This window comes from Homo sapiens, chromosome 13 (assembly GCF_000001405.40).
Source record: "Homo sapiens chromosome 13, GRCh38.p14 Primary Assembly".
Taxonomy (NCBI): Eukaryota; Metazoa; Chordata; class Mammalia; order Primates; family Hominidae; genus Homo; species Homo sapiens.
In genome coordinates this window covers 20,785,129-20,808,293 of record NC_000013.11, presented here as the reverse complement: position 1 = coordinate 20,808,293, position 23,165 = coordinate 20,785,129, and the positions used below count along the sequence as shown (strand labels likewise).

Sequence of the window (23,165 nt, the reverse complement as noted above, 5' to 3'; positions counted from 1 at the left end):
GATGCATTTTTAAAAAATACTGGCTAATATGTATGCAGTGCCTATTGCATACCAAATGTTTCATGGATCTCATTCTACCCGCTGAATTAGTATTGCTAGGTAGTATTACTATTATCATCATCATCGTCATTATCCCCAACTAATAGATGAAGAAGCTGAGACTTTGAGAGTATAAGAAACTAGCCCATTGTCACACTGCTATTAATTTTTAGAGCCAGAATGTAAATCTAGGCAGTCTGACTCTTAGGATCTTCTTTTTTGACCACCATACTATTAGTGTTTCCATATTTTAAATAATAAGCAAAAAATCTTGACTTTTGAAAATGAATTCCCTAATATTGACTTCTAATATAGATAGTAGCAAAATTTCTATTAACTTTACAGAATACAGTACTGAAAATTATTTAAGGTAGTAGATTAAAAAGCCCCTATGAATTACAAAATTGGTGAATAAAACATTTGTCCTTTTCTGTAGTTTTGAGGGTTACTTATCTGAGACATAGAAAGTTTTTTTTGCATAAACTTGAAATTAACAGGTTAACATTTATAATTTACATCAATTTATATGATGTATATAAATCAAACTGAAAACATTTATAGTACAATTTGATAAATGTAGATTTGTTAAGTGTTCATTTTTAATTTTTTTTAAACTGAAGGCTACCTCTTAGCTGATGATACTCAGGGAGAGACTCCGCTAATACCTCCAGAAATAATGGAATATTCCATTAAGCATTCATCTGAAGTTGACATTAATACAACACTTCAAATTTTGGGATCTCCAGGAGAAAAGGCTTCTTCCATCCCAGGGTACAACAGAACAGATTCTGTGATTAGGTAATATAAACTCTATAGCTGTGCTCTTGTAATTTTTATACTGTTTTATAAATTCTGAGTTGATGGGTAGATGACTGGAGTGATAGGCACGTTGTAAATCTGATACATGAAAAAAATGAAAACTTGGAGAAGCCTTGAAATACACAAGGATGGCAAGTACTCAGTATATTTAGGCAGTGCCACTCTAGTGAGAGTTGACAGCTATACCCAGTACTGAAGAAAAGTAATGTCAAATTATTCTGAATACAATGAGACTTGGAAGGGACATTGAATGTAGTTAGGAACATAACGCCTGTCCATCAGAGAGCAATACTGATGCATGCAGGCGCCCTAAATGAAGGGAACCAGATGAACGTCAACAAGTATCGTTCATAAAAGCTAAAACTACGTTTCGGTGGCTTTCTCATGGAAAATGATAGATAAAAATTTGTATCTCGTAAAATGGAAATATGTATTCTAAATGTGAAACTTAAGAGCCCTGTTATAATACAGGAGAGTGCCTCAAATGAGGTGATTCACTTTAATCTTCCTAATACTAATGGCAAAATTTTCGTTAATTCTTAATGGTGAAATTAAGGAGGGATAAGCCTGTATTAAAAATGTTCCGGCCAGGCGCAGTGGCTCACGCCTGCAATCCCAGCACTTTGGGAGACCGAGGCGGGCAGATCATGAGGTCAAGAGATTGAGACCCTCCTGGCCAACATGGTGAAACCCTGTCTCTACTAAACCTGCAAAAATTAGCTGGATGTGGTGGTGTACGCCTGTAGTCCCAGCTACTCGGGAGGCTGAAGCAGGAGAATCGCTTGAACCCAGGAGGCAGAGGTTGCAGTGAGCTCAGATTGCACCACTGCACTCCAGCCTGGCGACAGAGCAAGACTCTGTCTCAAAAAAAAAAAAAAAAAAAAAAAAAAAAAAAAGGGTCCTGAAAGTGAATTTGAAAACAACATGTGAAATTTCAGTATCTTTAACTTTATTTTAAATGTAGGTTGCAAGCAGAGATGTCAGTAATGATATTAACATTGGTTTTTGTCAGCTGCAAAACCAGTAACTCAAACAGGATGCTGTCCCCTTCATTCTTTTTAGTATGCAAAAATATATGGATATCATTTAAACATGCAATAGAAAATGTGGCTTTTTAAAAAATAGTTGAAATATTAAGCTGATAACCAAGGAAATGTTGGGGAATTTATTTCCTTTATTGTTGCATTCTCTTGTTTGAAATGAAATCATACTTTATTGAAAAAGTTATATATTCATTTTAGGATTACCTTAGTCATTAGATTTAGTGTCTCTGGAAATCAGTGCTTTGCTCTGGTTTGGTTGGTGGTGAATGTTAATTTAAAAAGCAGTTCATTTCAGGGTGCTGTCATATTATATATTCTTTGTTATATTTTTTGCTTGGGCAGTAGCATCAGGAATGCTTTCCTTGTATTTTAAGTGCTTTTTCCATTTTTGTCAGATGTTAGTGTGGGAGCAAAACATTTTGGTATCTGAGAGCACAGACTATGGAGGATTGGGACCAAAAAAAAAAAAGTCACCATGTTTTTAATCCAAAGAATTAATATGAAATTTAATGTTATATGGTAGAAACATTTCTTGTTTCACTAAAAAAGCAGCTCACATTTCTTAAAACAGGTATCATTTGAGAAATAATTATTGACTGCTGACAACGTAACAGGGAGCCTTCGGGTATTTGAACAAAACAGATAGAAGTCACTTCTCTTTTAGAACTCTTTATAAAGGAGAGAGAATAAATAAGTAAATTATGCAGTATGTTAGAAGACAGCAAATGTGACAGGTAAAAAGCTAGAGTGAGTATCAGTAGGGATTGTTGTAGTTGTCATTAGTGTGATGAGTGTTGGCTTTATCTAGAAGGTGACTTGGGAGCAGAGATGTGAGGTTGGTAAGGGAGGCCATGAAGGTGTCTGGGGGGAGAGCATTCCAAGCAAAATAAACAGTGAATGCAAAGGCCCTGGGCCTGCTTGGCATGTTCAAGAACAGCAAGAATGCCGTGGTGGGTTGAGCAGAATGAGGTGGAATTTTTTAGGAGATGGAGTTAGGAAAATAGAGGGAAAACAGAGAAGGTCTTAGGCCTTTGTAACATCTTTGGCTTTTGTTCTGAATGAAGCAGCATGCCATTGTAGGGTTTTGAGCAGAAGAGTAACTTAAATGTTAAGAAGTTTACTCTGCTGCATTAAGAGTAAATGATGGAGGCTGGGCACTGTGGCTCACACCTGTAATCCTAGCACTTTGGGAGGCCAATGTGGGCAGATTGCCTTAGCTCAGAAGTTCAAGACCAGACTGGGCAATATTGAAACCCCATCTCTACTAAATACAAAAAATTAGCCGGGCATGGTGGTGCTCGCCTCCTGTAGTCCCAGCTACTCAGGAGGCTGAGGCATGATAATCGCTTGAACCTCGGAGGCAGAGGTTGCAGTGAGCTGAGATTGCACCACTGCACTCTAGTCTGGGCGACACAGCAAGACCCTGTCTCAAAAAAAAAAACAAAATGCAAAAAAACCCGAGAGTAAATGATGGAAGCCAGGAGACCAGTTAGGAGACAAATTGTAGTAATCCAAGAGAAAGATGATGGTGGCTCAGACCTATAGTGGAGGTTGTGAGAGGTTAAAGCTCTGTTTGATTTATTGTGCTGACTTTGGATTTATGACATACAAATGTAATCTAGGATTGACTTAGAAAATATGAGAAACTGAGTGCTGTTTGAAATATATTTGTAGATATAGTGCTTTAAGGAATTGAAGTAGGAATGGGGTATTAATCTTGGAATATCAACAACTTAAAAATATTTTGGTGTTTTTATGAGTTGTATTTCAACTCCTATGCGTGCCAGCATCTGAGGATACAGTTAGAAGTGTGTAAGGGTGTTATAGGAGCTCCTGGTTCCCCTAATCTACGGGCAGAGGAGAACCAGAGGGGGCTTCTTGAAACAAGAGTACTTTAGGCAGTGACAATAGCATAAGCAGCAATGTTATAGGAAAGGGGTCCCTGAGGGTTCTTGGATCTTGCACAAGAAAGAATTCAGGGCGAGTCCATAGAGTAAAGTGAAAGCAAGTTTATTAAGAAAGTAAAGGAATAAAAGAATGGCTATTCCATAGACAGAGCAGGAAGTTCCTGAAAATAAGAAATAAGAAAATAGGAGGAACACGTCCACCATAGGCACAATGCTTGTGTGTATGTGTGTGTGTGTATATATATATATAATGTGTGTGTGTATATATATATAATGTGTGTATATATATAGATATATATAGTGTATGTATATAGTGTGTATATATATATTGTGTGTATATATATAGTGTATGTATATATAGTGTATATATATGATAAAAAAGATGGGGAGATGGGCTTTGCTACAAGGGTTTGTGATAAAGGATTACTTTTCTTAATTACTGTATTTTGCAAGAATCAATATTACTATCTTTAAAGCAAAATTAGGAATGCCTTTGTTCTCCAGATGTCAGAATATCTGGACACTCCCAAGTCTGGGTCTGTTTAGTAAATCTTATTAATTTGTTCCCTTAACTGTAAACATCTAGAGAATAGGGAATGCCTGATTTTCTGGGAATGCAGCCGTCAGGTCCCAGCATCATTTTCCTAGCCCTCACTCAAGATGGAGTCAGTCTGGTTTGATGCCTCTGACAGTAAGAGAGCCCTGCTCAAGTGAGAAGAACTTAGGTGTGGCTGGTGTGTGACCCAGGAGGGCAGGGCGATAGCTTTGGTGGGGGGATGAGGGTGGAGAGGCAGGGAGGTTGCTGTGGGTGGGGCTGATAAAGTGGGAGTAAAAATACTGACAAGGATTTACAGCAGAGAAGTGAAGTGATCAAAATATTTTAGAGATACTATTCCATGGGTGATAAATTTAAAGGGTGACAAGGCAAGTTAGGAAGCATTTTCCTACGTAGTCTTGGGAGTGAAGATGGAGAAAGGTTCTTGGGTTATGAGAGGTATTTCTGAGGTAGAAGAAAGGCCCCTGGGTGCCTCCCCTGGACCTGCCTGACTCAGGCTGAGTGGTTCTTTCATTGATGTTTCTTCCACTTTACAAAAGAAAGGCCAAAGTTTTCACTTCTACCTCTGAACATGTGGATTGGCAGGTGTGTAAAACCCCACAGAGGAGAGGGACAGTTGCAAACAGTGTGGCACTGACTAAGTGACTGAGTCACTAGTGAGTGGACAGTTAGCAGGTTTCAGTCCTTTGCATTAAATAACAAGAGGACCTAATCACATCAACCAAGAGATGATTAAAAATAATTTTTGTTGGTAGATCTCTGTGATTTTTGGTGTATAACTTGGAAGAAATTCAAATAATTGGGGTACTCTGCGATTTTAAAAATAGGTTCTACTTATATGAAGTTTTCTCAGTACTTATATCTATTAAAGGAAAAATAGGAATCAAATCATGCTCCACTTGCTCATCTGGCAATAGGTAATATTCATTCAAAGATACGTGTACTAAGTGGGGAAAGAACCCTACTAAGTTAATCACATTAAGAGATGCATACAATTTTATGTTTGTGTTTATTCATGTTTAATAATTTATTCAAATTTATATTGTTTTGCTCAGTTGTCTAGTTTTAAGTATCATAATGATAATCCAGAAGACATTTTTAAACACTTAATGGTCTTATGGTCATTGAAAATGTTTAAAAGTTATCTTTCAATATATAGACATTTGTATCAGAGTATGTAGTATGATGAACAAAATACTGGAACATAAAAATTATATTAGGATAATGTTCTATGGGAAAATGAAATTGAAATAAAAATAAGGAAAATCTGTTTATATTTTTAATGGGTGATAGTGGGTATCAGAATATTGTGATAATAAAACTCCAGTGCATAAATTTAAAGTGTTAATGTAACCATTTTCTTTTGAATTTTGTTAGGCTGGAATAGATATTTAAAATGATTTAATCTTACCAGGAATTTTGACATATCTACAACTTAAATGTATTACTGTACTGGGAGATTGTTGGGGTTTTATTTGTTTGTTTTGTTGTTGTTCATATACCCCCTAAAAAATTTTTTTAAAAAACTCAAACGAGCACTGGTGGTATAGGAAGTGTGCAGACAGTGAAGAAGGTTGGGCATGGTGGTTTATGCCTGTAATCCCAACACTTGGGGAGGCCAAGGTGGGAGGATTGCTTGAGCTCAGGAGTTCAAGACCAGCCTGGGTGACATGACGAAACCCTGTCTTTACAAAAATTTTTTAAATCGGCCTGGTGTAGTAGTGTGTGCCTGTAGTCCCAGCTACTTGGGAAACTCAGGCAGGAGGATCACTTGAACCCAAAAAGTTAAAGCTGCAGTGGACCGTGACTGTGTCTGGGCATACTGCAGCCTGGGTGACAGAGCAACTCTGTCTAAAAAAGAAAAAAAATTAGAAGAGATTCTGGGGTGGAACCTTAAAAACCTCCTGATTTAAAGAAGAAGTTCAGGAGAAGAGGATGCTGCCATGAAGACTGGGAAAGAGGAAGCAGATGGCTAGATGAAGAGAGGAAGGGCAGTGACCCCAGGGAGGCTGCAGGAAGATAAGGGCAGTGACAGTGGGCCATCCAGTGGGGTAAAGAACTGAAACACGTGTGTATGATTTCATGATGAGATCATTTCAGGCTTCCTGAGAGCACTAGTAAAGGAGCATAAGCCGAATTTGAGTGATTAGAATCCTTTTCTCAGCACTGATATTCATTAGTGTGTAATGGGGTCTTTCCATTACCTCCTTTGCTTCCTTGCCTTTTGGCTAAAGTCAGGTTAAATATATATCACTTCTGATTATGTGCCCTCCTCAACAAAGACATTTCTGTTTGTCTGCATGTCACGCTATGTGATTGACACCACACGACCATATGAATTATGTAGTGTAGGAAAGGACAATATGTGTACTTACACAGGTAATCTTTCTAGCAAGAGTTTTATTTAAAAATACCATGAAGAATCAAGTTTACTAGGAAATATTGGATTTAAACAAGGCTCAATATTCAAAACTTTCTAAATAATTCCCAGATCTTGTACTGTAACATGACCATGATATAAAAACACAAACTATACTAACCAGGGTAGTTTTAAGTAGTGATGCTAAGTAGTACATGCTAAAAGAGTTTGGCATGTACTCTGAAGATTTAATTTGATGTATTTCTCCTGAAAATCTGAAAATTTTGAATCTGAAAATTCTCTTTAGCTAGTAATGCTGATATTCACACATGTGGTTACAACTTCAGCAGAAGGACATCTCTAGTGTTGACTCTTCCTTTCCTTATCTTGTCTCCTGCTTCGTGAAAGATCAGAAATAATATGGGACAGTTGTCTAAAACTCTGTAGATGAAATGTTCAAGTATAGCCTGACCTAAATCCAGAGAACTGAAAGACAAAAAAGGACTTTTAAGGAAAAAAATATGATTAGACAGCAACTAAATAAATAAAAGAATAAATGACTTCTGTTTTATACCTACAGGCTGTTGTCTGCCATTCTCAGAGTTTCAGAAGTTGAATCTCGAGCAATAAGAGCAGATCTCACTCATCTACTAAGTCCCCAGATGGGCAAAGATATTGTTTGGTTTTTAAAACGCTGGGCAAAGACTTATCTCCTGGTGGATGAAAAACTGTATGATCAGGTCAGAATGTAAAACTTAAAACTTCATTTGGATTTATGATGATAGCAGTTATAGAAGCAGGAACATTTTTCTTGGTGGTTTTTCATCAAAATAGAACTGTTTAAGAGCAGTTTAACATTTTCTGTGTGGAAGAGAATTATGTGACTGGAATGCTGTTTTAATGTGTTTTTGAGCACATCCCTTGATATCGTTTATTTTAACTGCTGTTGAAGATACAGATTATTATTTGGGAATAGATTATGCTTTTTTGTATTTGGTTTAATACTATGTTAATTTTTTAATACTATGGGAATAATAGAAGTTGACGGGAAAATCACACTGGAAAATGTGAGTGGATTGAGGATGTCTTTTTTTTTGACCAGTGGAAATGAGTACATGTGTAAAGTTGATGTGAAGTAAGCACTACTTCAGATTAGATACTAATTTCAGTTCGATTTTTCTCTGTTTTTTTTTTCTTGAGTTGATCTTTCTTGCTTACCTTAAAAAATTTGTTTCCTCTCTTAAGATAAGTCTGCCATTCAGTACAGCGTTCGGAGCAGATACAGAGGGTTCTCAGTGGATAATTGGCTACCTCTTACAAAAAGTCATCAGTAACCTCTCAGTCTGGAGTAGTGAGCAGGACCTTGCAAATGACACTGTGCAGCTCCTTGTCACTTTGGTGGAAAGAAGAGAAAGGTTAGCCCATTGTTGGAGGCTGACTGTGTGTGTATGTGTGTGGGTGAGAAACTCTTTTTCACTTCTTAGTGTAGTCCTTTGAACTGGCAAATGGTTACACGGTCCTAATTCCAGATAGAGCCTACATTTTTGGAGTAATGGGTTTTAAAAACTATGTCACAGTACTATTACAAATGCAAATGGAGCTTTCCCATCTTATAATTGAGCATTACATTGACTCCTTCAGGATTTGGCATCAAAGCCCTATGAGTAACACATTAGTAATTTATCGTGTTGCAAACACTTTTATGTGGAATATGCTCATTTGAATTTTTAGACATCCCCATTTTAAAGATTAAATACTGATATTTAAAATTTAATGTTGGAAAGTAAAATTTTTAGTGCTTTCTACAACAATTCTAGAAATGTTTTCGTTGTTCTTACTGTATAGGAGTATCATTGTTATTATTACCATTGTCATTGTCTGGTTTATTGAATTCTTATAATTTACTATGTACTCTTCTAAGCATGTCATAGGTAGTATCTCATTTAATCATTATATCAGTCTCAGCCCCAGGAGACTGTTATTATTCCTATTTTGCAGATTATAGAGAAGTGATGATTGATAGAGGTTAAATAAATTTTACATCACCAGACAACTAGTGGGATTTGAATGTAAGCCTGTGACTTCAAAGTCTATACTAAGTTTACTGTACTTTGCTTTAACAGTAATTAAATCTAGTTATTTTTTATTTTTGTTTTCTTTGTGTGTATATGTGTATGTGTGTATGTATATACATAGTAATACATCTTATGTTTTGTTATTTCTACCTGTAGGGCAAACTTAGTAATTCAATGTGAGAACTGGTGGAATTTAGCTAAGCAGTTTGCAAGCCGAAGCCCACCTCTTAATTTCTTGTCAAGTCCTGTGCAGAGGACATTGATGAAGGCTCTAGTCTTAGGAGGTTTTGCACATATGGACACAGAAACCAAACAGCAGTATTGGACAGAGGTAACAGTGCTGTCTATTTTGATTGCACCCTTTTGTGTAACTCTGTAGTTCCTTTATCTATGCGTTGCCGTAAGAGTCTCTGGAGACATAAATGTATCAGTCATAGCTTTTCTTTCTTTCTTTCTTTCTTTTTTTTTTTTTTCTGAGATAGGGTCTTACTCTGTTGCCCAGGCTGGAGTACAGTGGTGCAGTCTCAGCTCATTGCAGCCTCTACCTCCCAGGTTCAAGCGATTCTCCTGCCTCAGCCTCCCAAGTGGCTGGGACTACAGACTCATGCCACCATACCCAGCTAATTTTTGTTTTTTTTAGTAGAGACGGGCTTTTGCCATGTTGGCCAGGCTGGTCTCGAACTCCTGGCCTCAAGCAATCTGCCCGCCTTGGCCTCCCAAAGTGCTGGGATTACAGATGTGACCAGCCACTGTGCCCGGCCCAGTCATAGCTTTTCTGATATTTTTTCTCCTAATGAATGGGTTGAAGCTTCTTATTTTACAAATGTTGTCTTATAATTTTTCTGTACCTGCCTGTGTGTGATGACATTGAATATTATCAAGTGTTCTGCATTTTAGGCACATTTTTCACAACTCAGTCGAGAGCATGGACTGGCTTATTAAATTTTCATTAGGGATCAGGGAAATATTCTCCTGTCTTGAATAAGATGCAGATTAACCATGATATTCATTTCCTAGGGCTGCTCTAACAAAATACCACAACAGAAATTTGTTTTCTCCTACTTCTGGAGGCTAGAAGTCCAAGCTATAAGGTGTCCATGGGATTTGTTCTTTCTGAAGGCTATGAGGGAAAATCTGTAGCCTCTGGTAGCTTGCTGGCAGTCTTTGGCATTCCTTGATTTGTAAACGCATCACCCTGATCCCTGCCTTCATCTTCACATGCTCCCCCTGTGTGTGTCTGCATCCACACTTCCCCTTTCTATATCAGTTATATTGAACTAGGGGCCCACCCTATTCCGGTATGACCTCATCTGAACTAATTACATCTATGACAACCCTATTTTCTTTTTTTTTGAGACGGAGTCTTGCTCTGTCACTCAGGCTGGAGTGCAGTGGTGTGATCTTGGCTCACTGCAACCTCCACCTCCTGGGTCAAGCGACTCTCCTGTCTCAGCCTCCTAAGTAGGTGGGATTACAGGTGCGCACCACCATGCCTGGCTAATTTTTGTATTTTTAGTAGAGACGGGGTTTTGCCATGTTGGCCAGGCTGGTCTCCTGACCTCAAGTGATCCGCCCACCTCAGCCTTCCAAAACGTTGGGATTACAGGTGTGAGCCACTGCATCCGGCCAACTCTATTATCAAATAAGTTCATATCCTGGGGTTTGGATTTCCACATATGAGTTTTTGAGGAACACAGTTTGACCCATAACAACAACCATGGGCACATTATTTAATAGGCTTTAAATCAAGGGCCAAGAGTTGCCAGTGTGTGTAGGTTGCCAGCCTGCAGTCCTTGTCTAGAGGGCCCTTAGTGTTTGAGAAGGGGCACAGTAATGGAATTAGGCAGTTGTTTGTGACTTCAAATCCAGGGGAAACCAGACTGACTAAGTATTTTTATTTTAAACAATTGTATTATCATATGGACAACTTAAAGTCGAATTAAGATACTGTCCTCTTGAATATGAGTACTCTTATATACAGGGCAGGACTGATTATCTGAAGTTACGTTCTGTGCCAAGAGGAATTAGGTAAAGGAAAAAGGAAAAAAACAGACAAGAACTTTGAATTGGGCTTCACTCTGTAGAGGTCGGCAAGCTGCAGCCCATGGGCCAAATGTGGCTTACTGTCTGATTTTGTAAACAAAGTTTTTTTTCCTTTTTGACTCATTACTTGGAAAGAGATGGAGGGAAATGGCAGAATTCTTTGAATGGCAGGGAGACAGTTATGTCCCATGCTTTGGGTGTTCTGGCTTTACATGAGCGGAAAGTTAGGATGACCCTCAAAATGGGGAGTGTAAAGTCTGGTTTAGATATTCTTTGTTATGTGCTTGTCCTGCCTCCAACAATTAGAAATGTTTTGGAAAGTGAATATGTATCCAAGCAGAGGAAATAAAGCATGAGAACTGAGCTTTAAGAAAATTCCTGGTTTATTTTTATAGGTTCTTCAGCCACTTCAGCAGCGATTCTTAAGAGTGATAAACCAAGAAAACTTCCAGCAGATGTGTCAGCAAGAGGAAGTCAAGCAGGAAATCACTGCCACACTAGAGGCCCTGTGTGGCATTGCTGAGGCTACCCAGATTGACAACGTAGCAATCCTGTTTAATTTTTTAATGGACTTCCTTACCAATTGCATTGGATTGATGGAAGTTTACAAGAATACCCCAGAGACTGTCAATCTCATTATAGAAGTTTTTGTTGAAGTTGCACATAAACAGATATGCTATCTTGGAGAGGTAAGCACTTTCTAATTTTATCCCCTCAGGATTAAAACTCTTTGAAGCTGTAATAAAATAATAGATCTTTGCTTAAAATTTGATTAGTATTATCTTAAATAATATTTTTATTCCTTCAAAAGATTTTTAAAAAAGATTTTTGAAAAGAACTTATAATTTAGAGAAAGTCATGTTGAATGAATGTAAATTTTTTTTTTAATTTCTTCTAAAAGGAAACAGGATACATATACAGAACGTTCAGATTTGTTACATAGGTATATGTATGCCATGGTGGTTTGCTGCACCTGAATATAAATTCTTGTCCTAAAATTTTGTTAGAAAAGGGGTAAAATTAAAAAAAATATACTCTTAATATATGCTTTCTAGAAATTATTGTTTTAATGTAGTTTAAAGCAAGAATTATTGCTACTGTTGGAATTCGGAGTTAATTTATATAGATTATATTTTAAAATTTTTTTAATGTCAGTGTACCAAGTAGCATAATTTGTGCATTTTTTTTTTTTTCAGTCCAAAGCTATGAACTTATATGAAGCCTGCCTTACTTTGTTGCAAGTGTATTCTAAGAATAATTTAGGGCGGCAAAGAATAGATGTTACAGCAGAAGAAGAGCAATACCAAGACCTGCTTCTCATTATGGAACTTCTTACTAACCTGCTGTCAAAAGAATTCATAGATTTCAGTGATACAGGTAAAATGTAACGTGATGGTTTTTAAACTTTGTTGTTATCCTCCTTTTTATTAAATCAAAGGATTGTTTTCTGTAAGAGACATCTCATGAGGAAATTCAATTTATGGAATAAATGAAAGAAGATCTTTGTGGTCAAAGTGAGGGTGAGGACCAGTGGCCCTCCTGCTTGCCTTTCCTCTTGTAAGAATAATAGAAATAGTATCTCTCATTCATTGAGATCTTACTAAATGCCATGCACTGTTCTTACCTCTCACAATGGTATGAAGTCAATCCCATTGTTATTCTCACTTTATAGATGAGGAAACAGAAGCACAGAGAGCTTAAGTCACTTGGCCACAGATACTTAGCCAGGACTGGGATTCAAATCCCAGCCTGTGACTCCAGATGCCAGTCTCTTCAGAGTTACACTTCCTGACTAATCACTTCTCCATGTTCCTCACGGTGGCCACCCCAGAAACCCTAGCACTTTCCAGAGTGTGGCTTGGAAAGCCCTGTTGGTGTAGGAAGCACTCTCTCTGGAGTTAACAGCCCACACTTTGAAGACCTAGCCTAGTGTCTCACCTACAGTATGATGTGAGGGGAGTTGATTAGCCTACCTGTGTCTTTACTAGCTGGTCAAATGGGTATGATAATAAATACCTTTCAGTGTGTTTGAAGGATCAGCTGTAAAGTGTCTTTGGTGCCTAGCATTGTGTCTGACAATCAGTAGGTAAAAGATAGTTGCTGTTACAGGCAAGAACCTGATCAGTAATTTAAACCTCATATATGTGTATAGTTTTCAGTGCTGTAGAGTTCACTCCCCTCCTATCTCACTGCCAACCTTGACTTCAAACAAAATGGATCCTGTTTCATGACAGAAAAATGAATCATATCTAGCCTCTCCTATTATATGTTGTGCAGACACGTGTGGTAGTGGACATTTTTGGCTTCTTCCTTGTAAGATTCTCTTTCTAAGTTGGGTGCTATAATATCCACTTGACTTATTTATCCCAATCCTTGAGATTGTTCTGTTTCCTTAATTTTTTCGTATTCCTTATTCACTGGACCATGTCTTTTTTTTTTTTTTTTAAATTCTTGGGCAACGGTTTTTCCAATATCTGCCCTGAGCTAGGTACCATCAACTTCACAGTGTAGAAGGTTTACTCTTTATTTTTTTTGCAGTTAACTAGGGGTACCAAGGTGAGATAGTCTGAAAAGCACTGTACAAATTCACTTTTCCTCAGTGAATTCTTTCTGGTCTGTTTTTAGGCCCAGCCTTTCACCCAAGTTTTCTAACTTTCTTCAGGTCAGTTCTGCTTAATCCAGGAGTTCTTAACTTTTTCTTTCTTTCCTTGTTGTTGTTTGAGAGGCAGGGTCTCCCTCTGTCATCCAGGCTAGAGTGCAGTCGCATGGTCACAGCTCTGTGCAGCCTCAACCTCAGGCTTAAACTATTCTCCCACCTTAACCTCCCAGAGTGCTGGGATTACAGGTGTGAGCCACTGTGCCCAGCATTCTTAACCTCTTACTAATACAGTATTAGTTGGTTCATGGACTCCTGGAAACTCTTCTATACATTTTCCAGGTGTGTCAGGAACCCAGGTTAAGAATCTTGTCCCCAGAGGAATCTGTAACTAAATGTTAGGACCCAGAGCTAAAACATGTATATGTTTAGATGATTTACTGTCATGATTACTCTGTGTATCATAAATCAGCTCATTGTTTCAATTTTTTCATTTCTAGAAATAGTATCATCATTTTCTTGGATTCTTATTCTATGCCCCCACTCAGGCCCCATCGCAGACCTACTAACTCTAGAAATCTATATTTTGACTAAGTTTCCTAGTTGTTTCTGACATACTACCAGATTTGTCTTATTTTCAGAATAATTTTCCTAAAATAGTGATTCCATCGTGTTTCCTACCTACTTAAGTACTACAGTAGATCCCAGCGCTGGGCAGCGTTAATAAGAGAAAGGAGAAGGGACAGTCCACATTTCTAGAATATTCTATAATCCTATCAAAAAAGGAAGGATTATAATAGAAGTAAACATTTAGAGAAATGATTGTGGAGCTGTGGCCAGTTTTTAGAATCTTCCATCTTCTTCCTACCTTGAAGGCCCCTTTAGGAAATCAGAACTGCCTCTCTGCTTCCTTACTGGACTCTAGATGGAGGATCCTCCCCCAGCACAGCCTTCCTGAGTTTTTCTTTGAGTAACATAATTTCTGTACGACTTGCCCTGGACCCAGTAGGACTTGTACCAACAATAAGGGATAGCCATTAATATTTTTGGAATATTTTTTCACCTGGGAGTCTTCTTTGGTTAAGGGTGAAATGTTTCAGATCATTTACATTGAAAGGGCAGGGGATAAAAAATTAGCCAGGCATGGTGGTGGTGGGCACCTGTAGTCCCAGCTACTCTGGAGGCTGAGGCAGGAGAATGGCGTGAACCAGGGAGGCGGAGCTTGCAGTGAGCCGAGATTGTGCTACAGCACTCCAGCCTGAGTGACAGAGCCAGACTCTGTTTCAATCAATCAGTCAATCAGTCAATAAGAAAGGGCAGGGGGGCTATTAAGGTGTTTGAAGACAATCTCCCAGGTTTATGGTGCAGCTGCACTTCCTCCCATCTGCCATTCTAAGAACAAATTGTAGAGCAAACAATAAAGCTAAGCATTTGAAGGAGAGATTTTCAAAATAAAAGCAGCGAAAAGATTAAAGTCATAATAAGGTTAAGAAAAGAAATTGATGCTATAATGCTCAGGCTAGACAAAACAAAATAGGGGTAAAAAGAATAAAACGAGTATGTAGGGTTGAAATTCAGAAGAAACAAAAATGAAGGCAAAGTAGAAAATTATAAGGAAACATCTTTGGCACATCAGGCAAATGGATGGTAAAAAGGAAGAGAATATTTTATTTAAAAATAAAGATAATAGCTGAAACAAAATATAAAATATTCTAAATATTGTAAAACAAAGTTAATGGACTAGGTGAGATATTAAAAGCATAACTGCGCCGGGTGTGGTGGCTCACGCCTGTAATCCCAGCACTTTGGGAGGCTGAGGCGGGTGGATCACCTAAGGTCAAGAGTTTGAGACTAGCCAGGCCAACATGGAGAAACCCCGTCTCTACTAAAAATACAAAAAAATTAGCCGGGCATGGTGGTGCATGCCTGTAATCCCAGCTACTCAGGAAGCTAAGGCAGGAGAATCGCTTGAACCTGGGAAGAGAGGAGGTTGCAGTGAGCTGAGATTGTGCCATTGCACTCCAGCCTGGGCAACAAGAGCGGAACTCCAGCTCAAAAAATATTAATAATAATTAATAAATAATAAAAGCATAACTGGAAACTGGCATCTGACTTTTTTTTTTTTTTTTTTTTGTGAGACAGAGTTTTACTTTTGTTGCCCAGGCTGGAGTGCAATGGCGCGACCTTGGCTCACAGCAGCCTCCACCTCAGCCTTACGAGTAGCTGGGATTATAGGAACCCGCCACCAGGCCTGGCTAATTTGTTTGTTTATTTGTTTGTTTGTTTTTGAGACAGCGTCTCGCTCTGTCACCCAGGCTGGACTGCGGTGGCGCCATCTTGGCTCACTGCAACCTCTGCCTCCTCGGTTCAAGTGATTTTCCTCCCTCAGCCTCCCAAGTACCTGGGACTATAGGTGCCCGCCTTTTTTAGCAGATACTATGTTTCACTATGTTGGCCAGGCTGGTCTTAAACTCCTGACCTCGTGATCCGCCTGTCTCACCCTCCCAGAGTGCTGAGATTACAGGAGTGAGCCACCGTGCCCAGCCCAGGCCTGGCTAATTTTTTGTATTTTTAGTAGAGATGGGGTTTTGCCATGTTGGCCGGGCTGGTCTCGAACTCCTGGCCTCAGGGGATCTGCCCACCTCAGCCTCCCGAAGTGCTGGGATTACTGCGCCTGGCCTTGACATTCTTTAACGTGGTATCCGACCTGCTTTCTTGACTCCTTAGCAGAGCACATGGTTAGAGACTGAGCCCTCTTGGAGCCCATGATGGGTCAGCCTTTGCCGGCTCTGAGAGACGTGTCTTCTTGGCAGATACCTGGAGCAGGGAGTCAAGCTCTAGTACCAGCCTTCTGCTCCAGAGCAGGCTGGGGTTCCTTGGGTAGAATCCAGGCTTACCAGTATGATGTGCAGGGAACATTTGGTGACTCCTGCTTTAACACAGGAGATTCTTCCAACCAGAACAAAGATTCCAGGGGAGAAGTTCAGCGTTAGGCTTAACAAGTGGATTTTAAGTAGACACATATCCCTCATTTGATCTTTTTGTTGTTATAAGAAATATGCCCTTAATAGAAAAAAATTGTAAATATAGAGACAGAAAAATCATGCTTACTTTTGGACACCATCCAGAGTCAACTATACATTGCATTTTAGGAATTTCTGTTTTTGTTATTTTTGTCCAATTTTCTTTGTGATCGTGCTCTAAATACAAGTTTGTTTTTATTTTGCTTTTACTCCTGGCAAGCTGCGAACTAAATTCAATTTTATATTCTGTCGTTTTGTTTAATGTAGTGTTAACCTTTCCCTTGTCATTAGAATCTGTGATGATATTTTTAATGGTTATGTGGCATTCCACATTTTGGAATTTAGCCTGTTTCCTAATATTGGACATCTGGAATGTTTACCTTTTTCCTCTTATAAATGGTGATGCAGTGATCATTTCTGTGGACAAGGCTGTCTGAATTTCTGATTATATCCTTAATAGATAGAATTCTCAAAATGGTCTTAATATATTGCTTTTGAGGTTAACCACATTTCATCCTTACTGGCAATGAAATGTTATCATTTTTACAAATTATTTTTAATGTAATGAATCAGAAGTAGTATCTTTTTAAAATTTGTATTGCTTGATTAATAGTTGGAATGGACTGTTTTCCTTTAGAGTCAGACTTTGATAAACGTTTGTTTAGAGATGTTAATTTATCTGTTTAGGTCTTAGTATTCTCATTAATTTATATATATATATAATTCATATGTATTAAGAATGATAACCCTTTGTCATATTGGTTGTTCTTTTTTAAACTACTTTCTTTTTTATGTAACATTTTAATTTCTGTATTTCTCGCATTCCTTTTAAGCTTAGAAATATTATACACACTTGAAATCAAATGGATATTTCTATAGAAATTGTTTAACTCATTATGGCTAGTATGCCAGTAGATTTTATATTTCAAAACATTGATTAAGCATTAGTTTTATTTCTAGACTGTCCCCTGCTCTTAACCTCCCCAATACTTCTGTATCAAGTACTCATATCCCCTAATAAAACTCAAAAGGATGACACAGGGCTGGGGTCTCAGATCTTTTTTTCACCCCTGGATGTGCTGTCTCCTCCATCCCCTCACCAGAGACCAGGCAGGACGAGGTCAGATTCTTTATTATTCACTCATTGATTTATTTAGCCTCTAGGGGTGAGTTTATTTTCATAAGGGTAGAATACACACTTGGAAGATTTATTGATGTTACCACCATAAGCCTGCATCCTTTTATTTTAATAGATGAAGTGTTTAGAGGACATGAGCCAGGTCAAGCAGCAAACAGATCTGTGTCAGCAGCGGATGTTGTGTTGTATGGAGTAAACCTAATTCTGCCCTTGATGTCACAGGATCTCTTGAAGGTAATTAATGAAATTGAATGTGAACATACCACTATGTGTAACTGAAGTTCAAAGATACTTTAGACAAGAATATATCTGTGATTTAATTTAGTAGTTGTATCTGCTAAGTGCACATGAAGATACAATTTTTGTATTTTCATTAACGGTTACTTGTGCATGCTTCTCAGTAACATGGGCCCTTACTTAGTCTCTGTTTCTGCCCCAAAGTCCTGCAGGCACCCATACATTAGTGACTCGTTTTGTCAGGGAGTGCTACAGAAAGGAGCCTGTCCTTTTAGAAAGTACATTCTGTTAGCAGTTTTGATTACCTCATAATTTGTCACTAAGGGAATAAAGTAAGTTAAAAGTTTCAGTGTTTTCCTCTGATACTTTCTGAACATCATTCTCAAGTTAAGGGATTGAGCAAAGGAAGGCATTTTCCAAGGGGCACCATGTAAAAATGGGATGGTATGCTTCCAAGACTGATGCTGTTTTAAAGTTTTTGCACATTCTGACTACATTATGCCTTGGTTTTGTCAGTTAATATTGAGGGTGTGGTGGCGGTGAGGCAACTTTTTTCTACCATCCGTAAGTACCACAGAGGGAGGTCTCTTGTCATGAGTTGTCATAGCAGGATAAGGGTGGGGATGAGGACATGGGTGGAAAGGAAAGGAGGAGTTTGTGTGTGTATGTGCACATGTGCATGCATGCATGCGTGTGCACACACACACGAGATAAAGACAAGGAGTAGGAGGAAGTAAGATAGTAGAGGCTGGGCCGGGCGCAGTGGCTCACGCTTGTAATCCCAGCACTTTTGGAGGCCGAGGTGGGTGGATCACGAAGTCAGGAGATCGAGACCATCCTGGCTAACATGGTGAAACCCCGCCTCTACTAAAAATACACACACACACACACAAAAAAAAAGCCGGGTGTGGTGGTGGGCGCCTGTAGTCCCAGCTACTCAGGAGGCTGAGGCAGGAGAATGGCGTGAACCCGGGAGGCGGAGCTTGCAGTGAGCCAAGATTGTGCCACTGCACTGCAGCCTAGGTGACAGAGCGAGACTCTGTCTCAAAAAAAAAAAAAAAAAGTAGAGGCTGAGAAGTGTCCAGAAGGTGAGTACATACGAGAAGAATGAGTCCTGTTTGATTGCCAGCATAGCAGGATCTAACCGTGTGCTTCCCCCTCCTTGAGAGCGTCTCTAACTATTGGAAACAATGTTGATGACCCATGGCATTCACACAGCAGCCAGCCAGCAGGATGAGGAAGTTTAGTCAACTCTCCATATTGATTTGCATTTAGGGTTTGTTTAAACAAATAAGCCATTAAACATTTAAGTGTGTATTTTTCTTAAGTGTGGTTAAACCAGATTACTTACTTTTACCTCAGTTCTCTAGGATAGTACAACTGGAAAAATGTTTTTGGAAGTGTAAAGACCGAATACTCTGCTCTGTGCATAGTCTTAACAATTTGTATTAACCTTCTTGAATTTTTTCAGCATGCTTGAATGGAAATACATTTACAAAAAGGTTTTACTCCTAAGTTATTTAATAATTTTAAATCTGGCTGCCTTGTTTACTTTTTCCGGGTAAACACAGAATATCAGGAATTGACCTTAGATTTTATTAACTATCTAGAAGATAATTGTTTTGACTGTCTGTTACTTTGTTTCATAGTAGTTACTAAAATATGCCCTTTATTTGTACCTGTTTTTACATTTAATTTGGTCTTCATGTTTTCTATATCTTGTACATGTTTTAAAGAAATCATTATATTTAGAAGCTTGTCAGTTACTTTATTTTATTGCATTGATGAAAATAGAAATTGGATACTAATGAGCATCCAAATAATTGAATATTTCTTTTTCAGTTTCCAACCCTTTGTAATCAGTACTACAAATTAATCACATTTATCTGTGAGATTTTTCCTGAAAAAATACCACAGCTTCCTGAGGATCTGTTTAAAAGTCTGATGTACTCCCTAGAATTAGGAATGACATCATATCCTTTAAATGAACATCACTGTTACTTGTTACTTGGGGAAAAAGATCTTCCTTTAAAGAAAAGTTTTTTAAGTTTACATTTTTCATTTTTCTTTTATGGTTCAATTTTATTTCTTAAAAAACCCTGGGCCAGGCACGGTGGCTCACACCTGTAATTCCAGCACTTTGGGAGGCCGAGGCGGGTGGATCACCTGAGGTCAGGAGTTCGAGACCAGCCTGGCCAACACAGTGAAACCCTGTCTCTAATAAAAGTACAAAAAATTAGCTGGGCGTGGTGGCAGGTGCCTGTGATCCTAGCTACTCGGGAGGCTGAGGCAGGAGTATCGCTTGAACCCGGGAGGCGGAGGTGGCAGTGAGCCGAGATTGCGCCATTGCACTCCAGCCTGGGCAACAAGAGTGAAACTCCATCTCAAAAAAAAAAAAAAACAAAAAAACAAAAAACTGTCACCTCTGTAACTGCTCTATTTCTGTGTTTCTTTCGTTAGTTTGCCTCGTCCTGTCCTCCTTTCATAGATCTCTGAGGCATTCAGTCCCTGGTTCCAGAAGTTACCCCTTCATCAGGGTCCCATTAGTAATGTTGAGCTGGGTCTCTGGTCTTAGCTCTGATTGTAGAGAATAATATGACTTTTTAATAAGTTGTATGTATCGTAAACTGAAACAAGCTATACATCACCAGGCTCAAACCCAAAAACCTTATAGGCAATCTGAAAAACACTGGAAATCTTCTTTCCTTATATAACTCAGTGAAGATATTGCCCATGAGTCTACTTGTGTATCTGTATTCATTTCTAGAAACACTCATCCATTTAATACTAGCTATAATTTTTTTATCTTTTATAAATCGAATATATCCAATCTAGTTTGTTCTTTGACCTTCATGATCAGAATGAGTTCGGAGGTTTGCCAGCTTTGCCTGGAGGCCTTGACACCGTTAGCTGAACAGTGTGCAAAAGCACAAGAAACAGACTCACCACTTTTTCTAGCAACACGGCACTTTCTTAAGGTAAGATGTCTGTGCGGTAGGTCAGAAAATCAGCTACTTTCAAAAGTGTGGTCGGTGCACATAATTCTGCATTCAAATGAGGAAATGCTTCCATTCTTTCGGGGGCAAGGAAACCATGACTTCCTGTTCACTGTTTTTTTCTGGAGATCAGCTCTTCATGGACACATTCTCATCCTCTATTTTTTGTGTTCTTGGAAATTGATGTGGTACACATTGAGGGAATTTGATATTGTTGATTATTCAGATACCACAGCAAGTAGCAATATCTGTAAGGTATTTTTTTTAAAACATTAAGGAAAATTTCAGATTGATTTAATAAATAGAATAACAACCAACCCTCTCTTCTTCTTTTTTGGACTGGGGAGGGACTGGAGGATATATGATCATCCTATGTTTTTATTTAGAAGTCTTATGTAATTTCAGCTGGTTTTTGATATGCTGGTTTTGCAAAAGCACAACACAGAGATGACCACTGCGGCTGGCGAAGCTTTCTACACGTTGGTGTGTTTGCACCAGGTACTGGACATGCCTCTTTTCAGGGGACTCTTCTCATTCTATTTTGCAAAGAGATTGTTGAGATAGATGGTGGGTCATTAATCCCCCCTTATAGGATCTGTGACTCAGTGCTTCAGTTCTGTTTCAGTGAGGAAGTATTTCTTAGCTTCTTTATTAGCTTTCACATGTCAGTTTGTGTTTATCTGACAGCTGTTTGTCAGTTCAAAGCATTTATTTTTTGTCCTCCACCATTATGAACCATCCTTTGCAATGGTCACTGCCCCAAAGCCTGTCCTTAAACAACTGTGCTAGGAATGAGGAATACATAATGGGTGTGTGAAGAACTCATGGTTTTTTGTAAGGGAGACAGGATGGCAGACAAGGAAGAGTCTGCCTTCAGACAGTATGGAAGACAGTATTTTATTGCATATTATAGAAAACAGTATATTATTTCATTTTGTTGATCTTTTAAAGATTCTGAAGCATCACTGATAATGGGGTTAATAGAAGAGTTAGGCTAGCTTACCTGTCTCCCCACTTCTGATCGAATAGGTGCCTGTGAAATTTATGAAAAGGACCGTATTGAACAGTTTGCTGCCTCTGTTTCCCCTTTTCCTCTCCCATGCATATATATACACACATATATATGTAAGGTACATATATATATATATATATATACACACACACGTATATATATATATACCTCCCAGCATGGCCAAGAAGCTTTGGCGTTTTATTTCCATCTTTAAAAAAGGGTTTAGAGGAGGTCTTCCATACTATTTAAAGACCTCCTTTCTCTAGACTTCCCGTAACATCTGTGCCCTAAGCTGAAGGTGCCCTGGGGCTTCATTTCTTGCTCTCTGCCCTAGGCTGCCACTTCCTGCAGGTGGTACCTGCTCTCAAATCTGTGCCCTTTCTCTGTCATTTGTCTTACTTGTTGCTTACTAGCAAGGTAGTCGTCTTGTCTGATCCTTCCTTCCTTCCTTCCTTCCTTCCTTCCTTCCTTCCTCTCTTTTTCTTTTCTTTTTTCTATCTTTTTCTTTCATTTTTCTTTTCTTTCCTTTCTTCCTTCCTTCCTCCCTCCTCTTTCTTTCTTTCTCCCTCCCTCCCTCCCTCCTTTCCTCCCCCGTTCCCTTCCACCCTCTTGTCTCTTCCTCCCTTCCTTTCTTCCTTCCTTCCTTCTCTTCCTTTATTTCTCTCTCTCCCTCTCTTTTAACATATTTACACACTGCAGGAAAGAGCAGGTTTCAGGAATGGCCAGTATGATACTTGCTGCCTGGCCCCAGAGGCTCTACTATCTCGCTTTTTTTTTTTTTCTGAGACAGGGTCTCACTTTATTATTACCCAGGCTGGAGTGCAGTGGTGCAATTACTGCTAACTCCTGCCTCGGCCTCCTGGCCTCAAGCAATCCTCCCGCCTCAGCTCCCCAAGTAGCTGGGACTACAGGTGTGCACCACCACACCTGGCTTATTTTTTGTAGAGACGGAGTTTCACCATGTTGCCCAGGCTTGTATCGAACTCCTGAACTTAAGCAATCCACTCGCCTCGGCCTCCCAAAGTGCCTAGGATTACAGGTGTGAGCCACCATGCCTTGCCACCTCTACCATTTCTCATGAGTAGGGAAATGATAGGAGATTATACTTGGTCCCCTGTGAACAGGACTGTCCCTTTGATAAGGCAATTAGGGGAGCCACTCTGGCTCCATGGTTGGGGATTGGGATGCTGCACCTTATCCTTCTTTTCCAAATGTAATTAACATTTGGTTTCACCATTTTGGTCTATCATGATATCCCAAGAAGCCAATGAAAAATTACAGCATGCCAGGTGCAGTGGCTCATGCTTGTAATTTTTGCACTT

At 38.9% G+C, this 23,165-nt stretch overlaps 1 protein-coding gene across 13 annotated transcripts in view; it reads left to right on the top strand.

Moving 5' to 3' along the window:
• XPO4 (exportin 4) overlaps window positions 1-23,165 on the top strand; it is a 125,446-nt gene that overhangs the window by 94,481 nt on the left and 7,800 nt on the right. For 11 of the 13 annotated variants that reach the window (XM_047430537.1, NM_022459.5, XM_024449394.2 and 8 more), the window contains 10 exons: window positions 660-837; window positions 7,304-7,463; window positions 7,969-8,138; window positions 8,955-9,129; window positions 11,237-11,530; window positions 12,038-12,218; window positions 17,714-17,832; window positions 19,678-19,808; window positions 20,696-20,813; window positions 21,237-21,329. In XM_047430537.1, coding sequence (XP_047286493.1) covers window positions 660-837; window positions 7,304-7,463; window positions 7,969-8,138; window positions 8,955-9,129; window positions 11,237-11,530; window positions 12,038-12,218; window positions 17,714-17,832; window positions 19,678-19,808; window positions 20,696-20,813; window positions 21,237-21,329 — 1,619 coding nt within the window. Of the gene's footprint in view, window positions 1-659; window positions 838-7,303; window positions 7,464-7,968; window positions 8,139-8,954; window positions 9,130-11,236; window positions 11,531-12,037; window positions 12,219-17,713; window positions 17,833-19,677; window positions 19,809-20,695; window positions 20,814-21,236; window positions 21,330-23,165 lie in introns of those variants that run through there. The other 2 variants (NM_001372061.1, XM_047430541.1) reach the window with 2 other exon arrangements.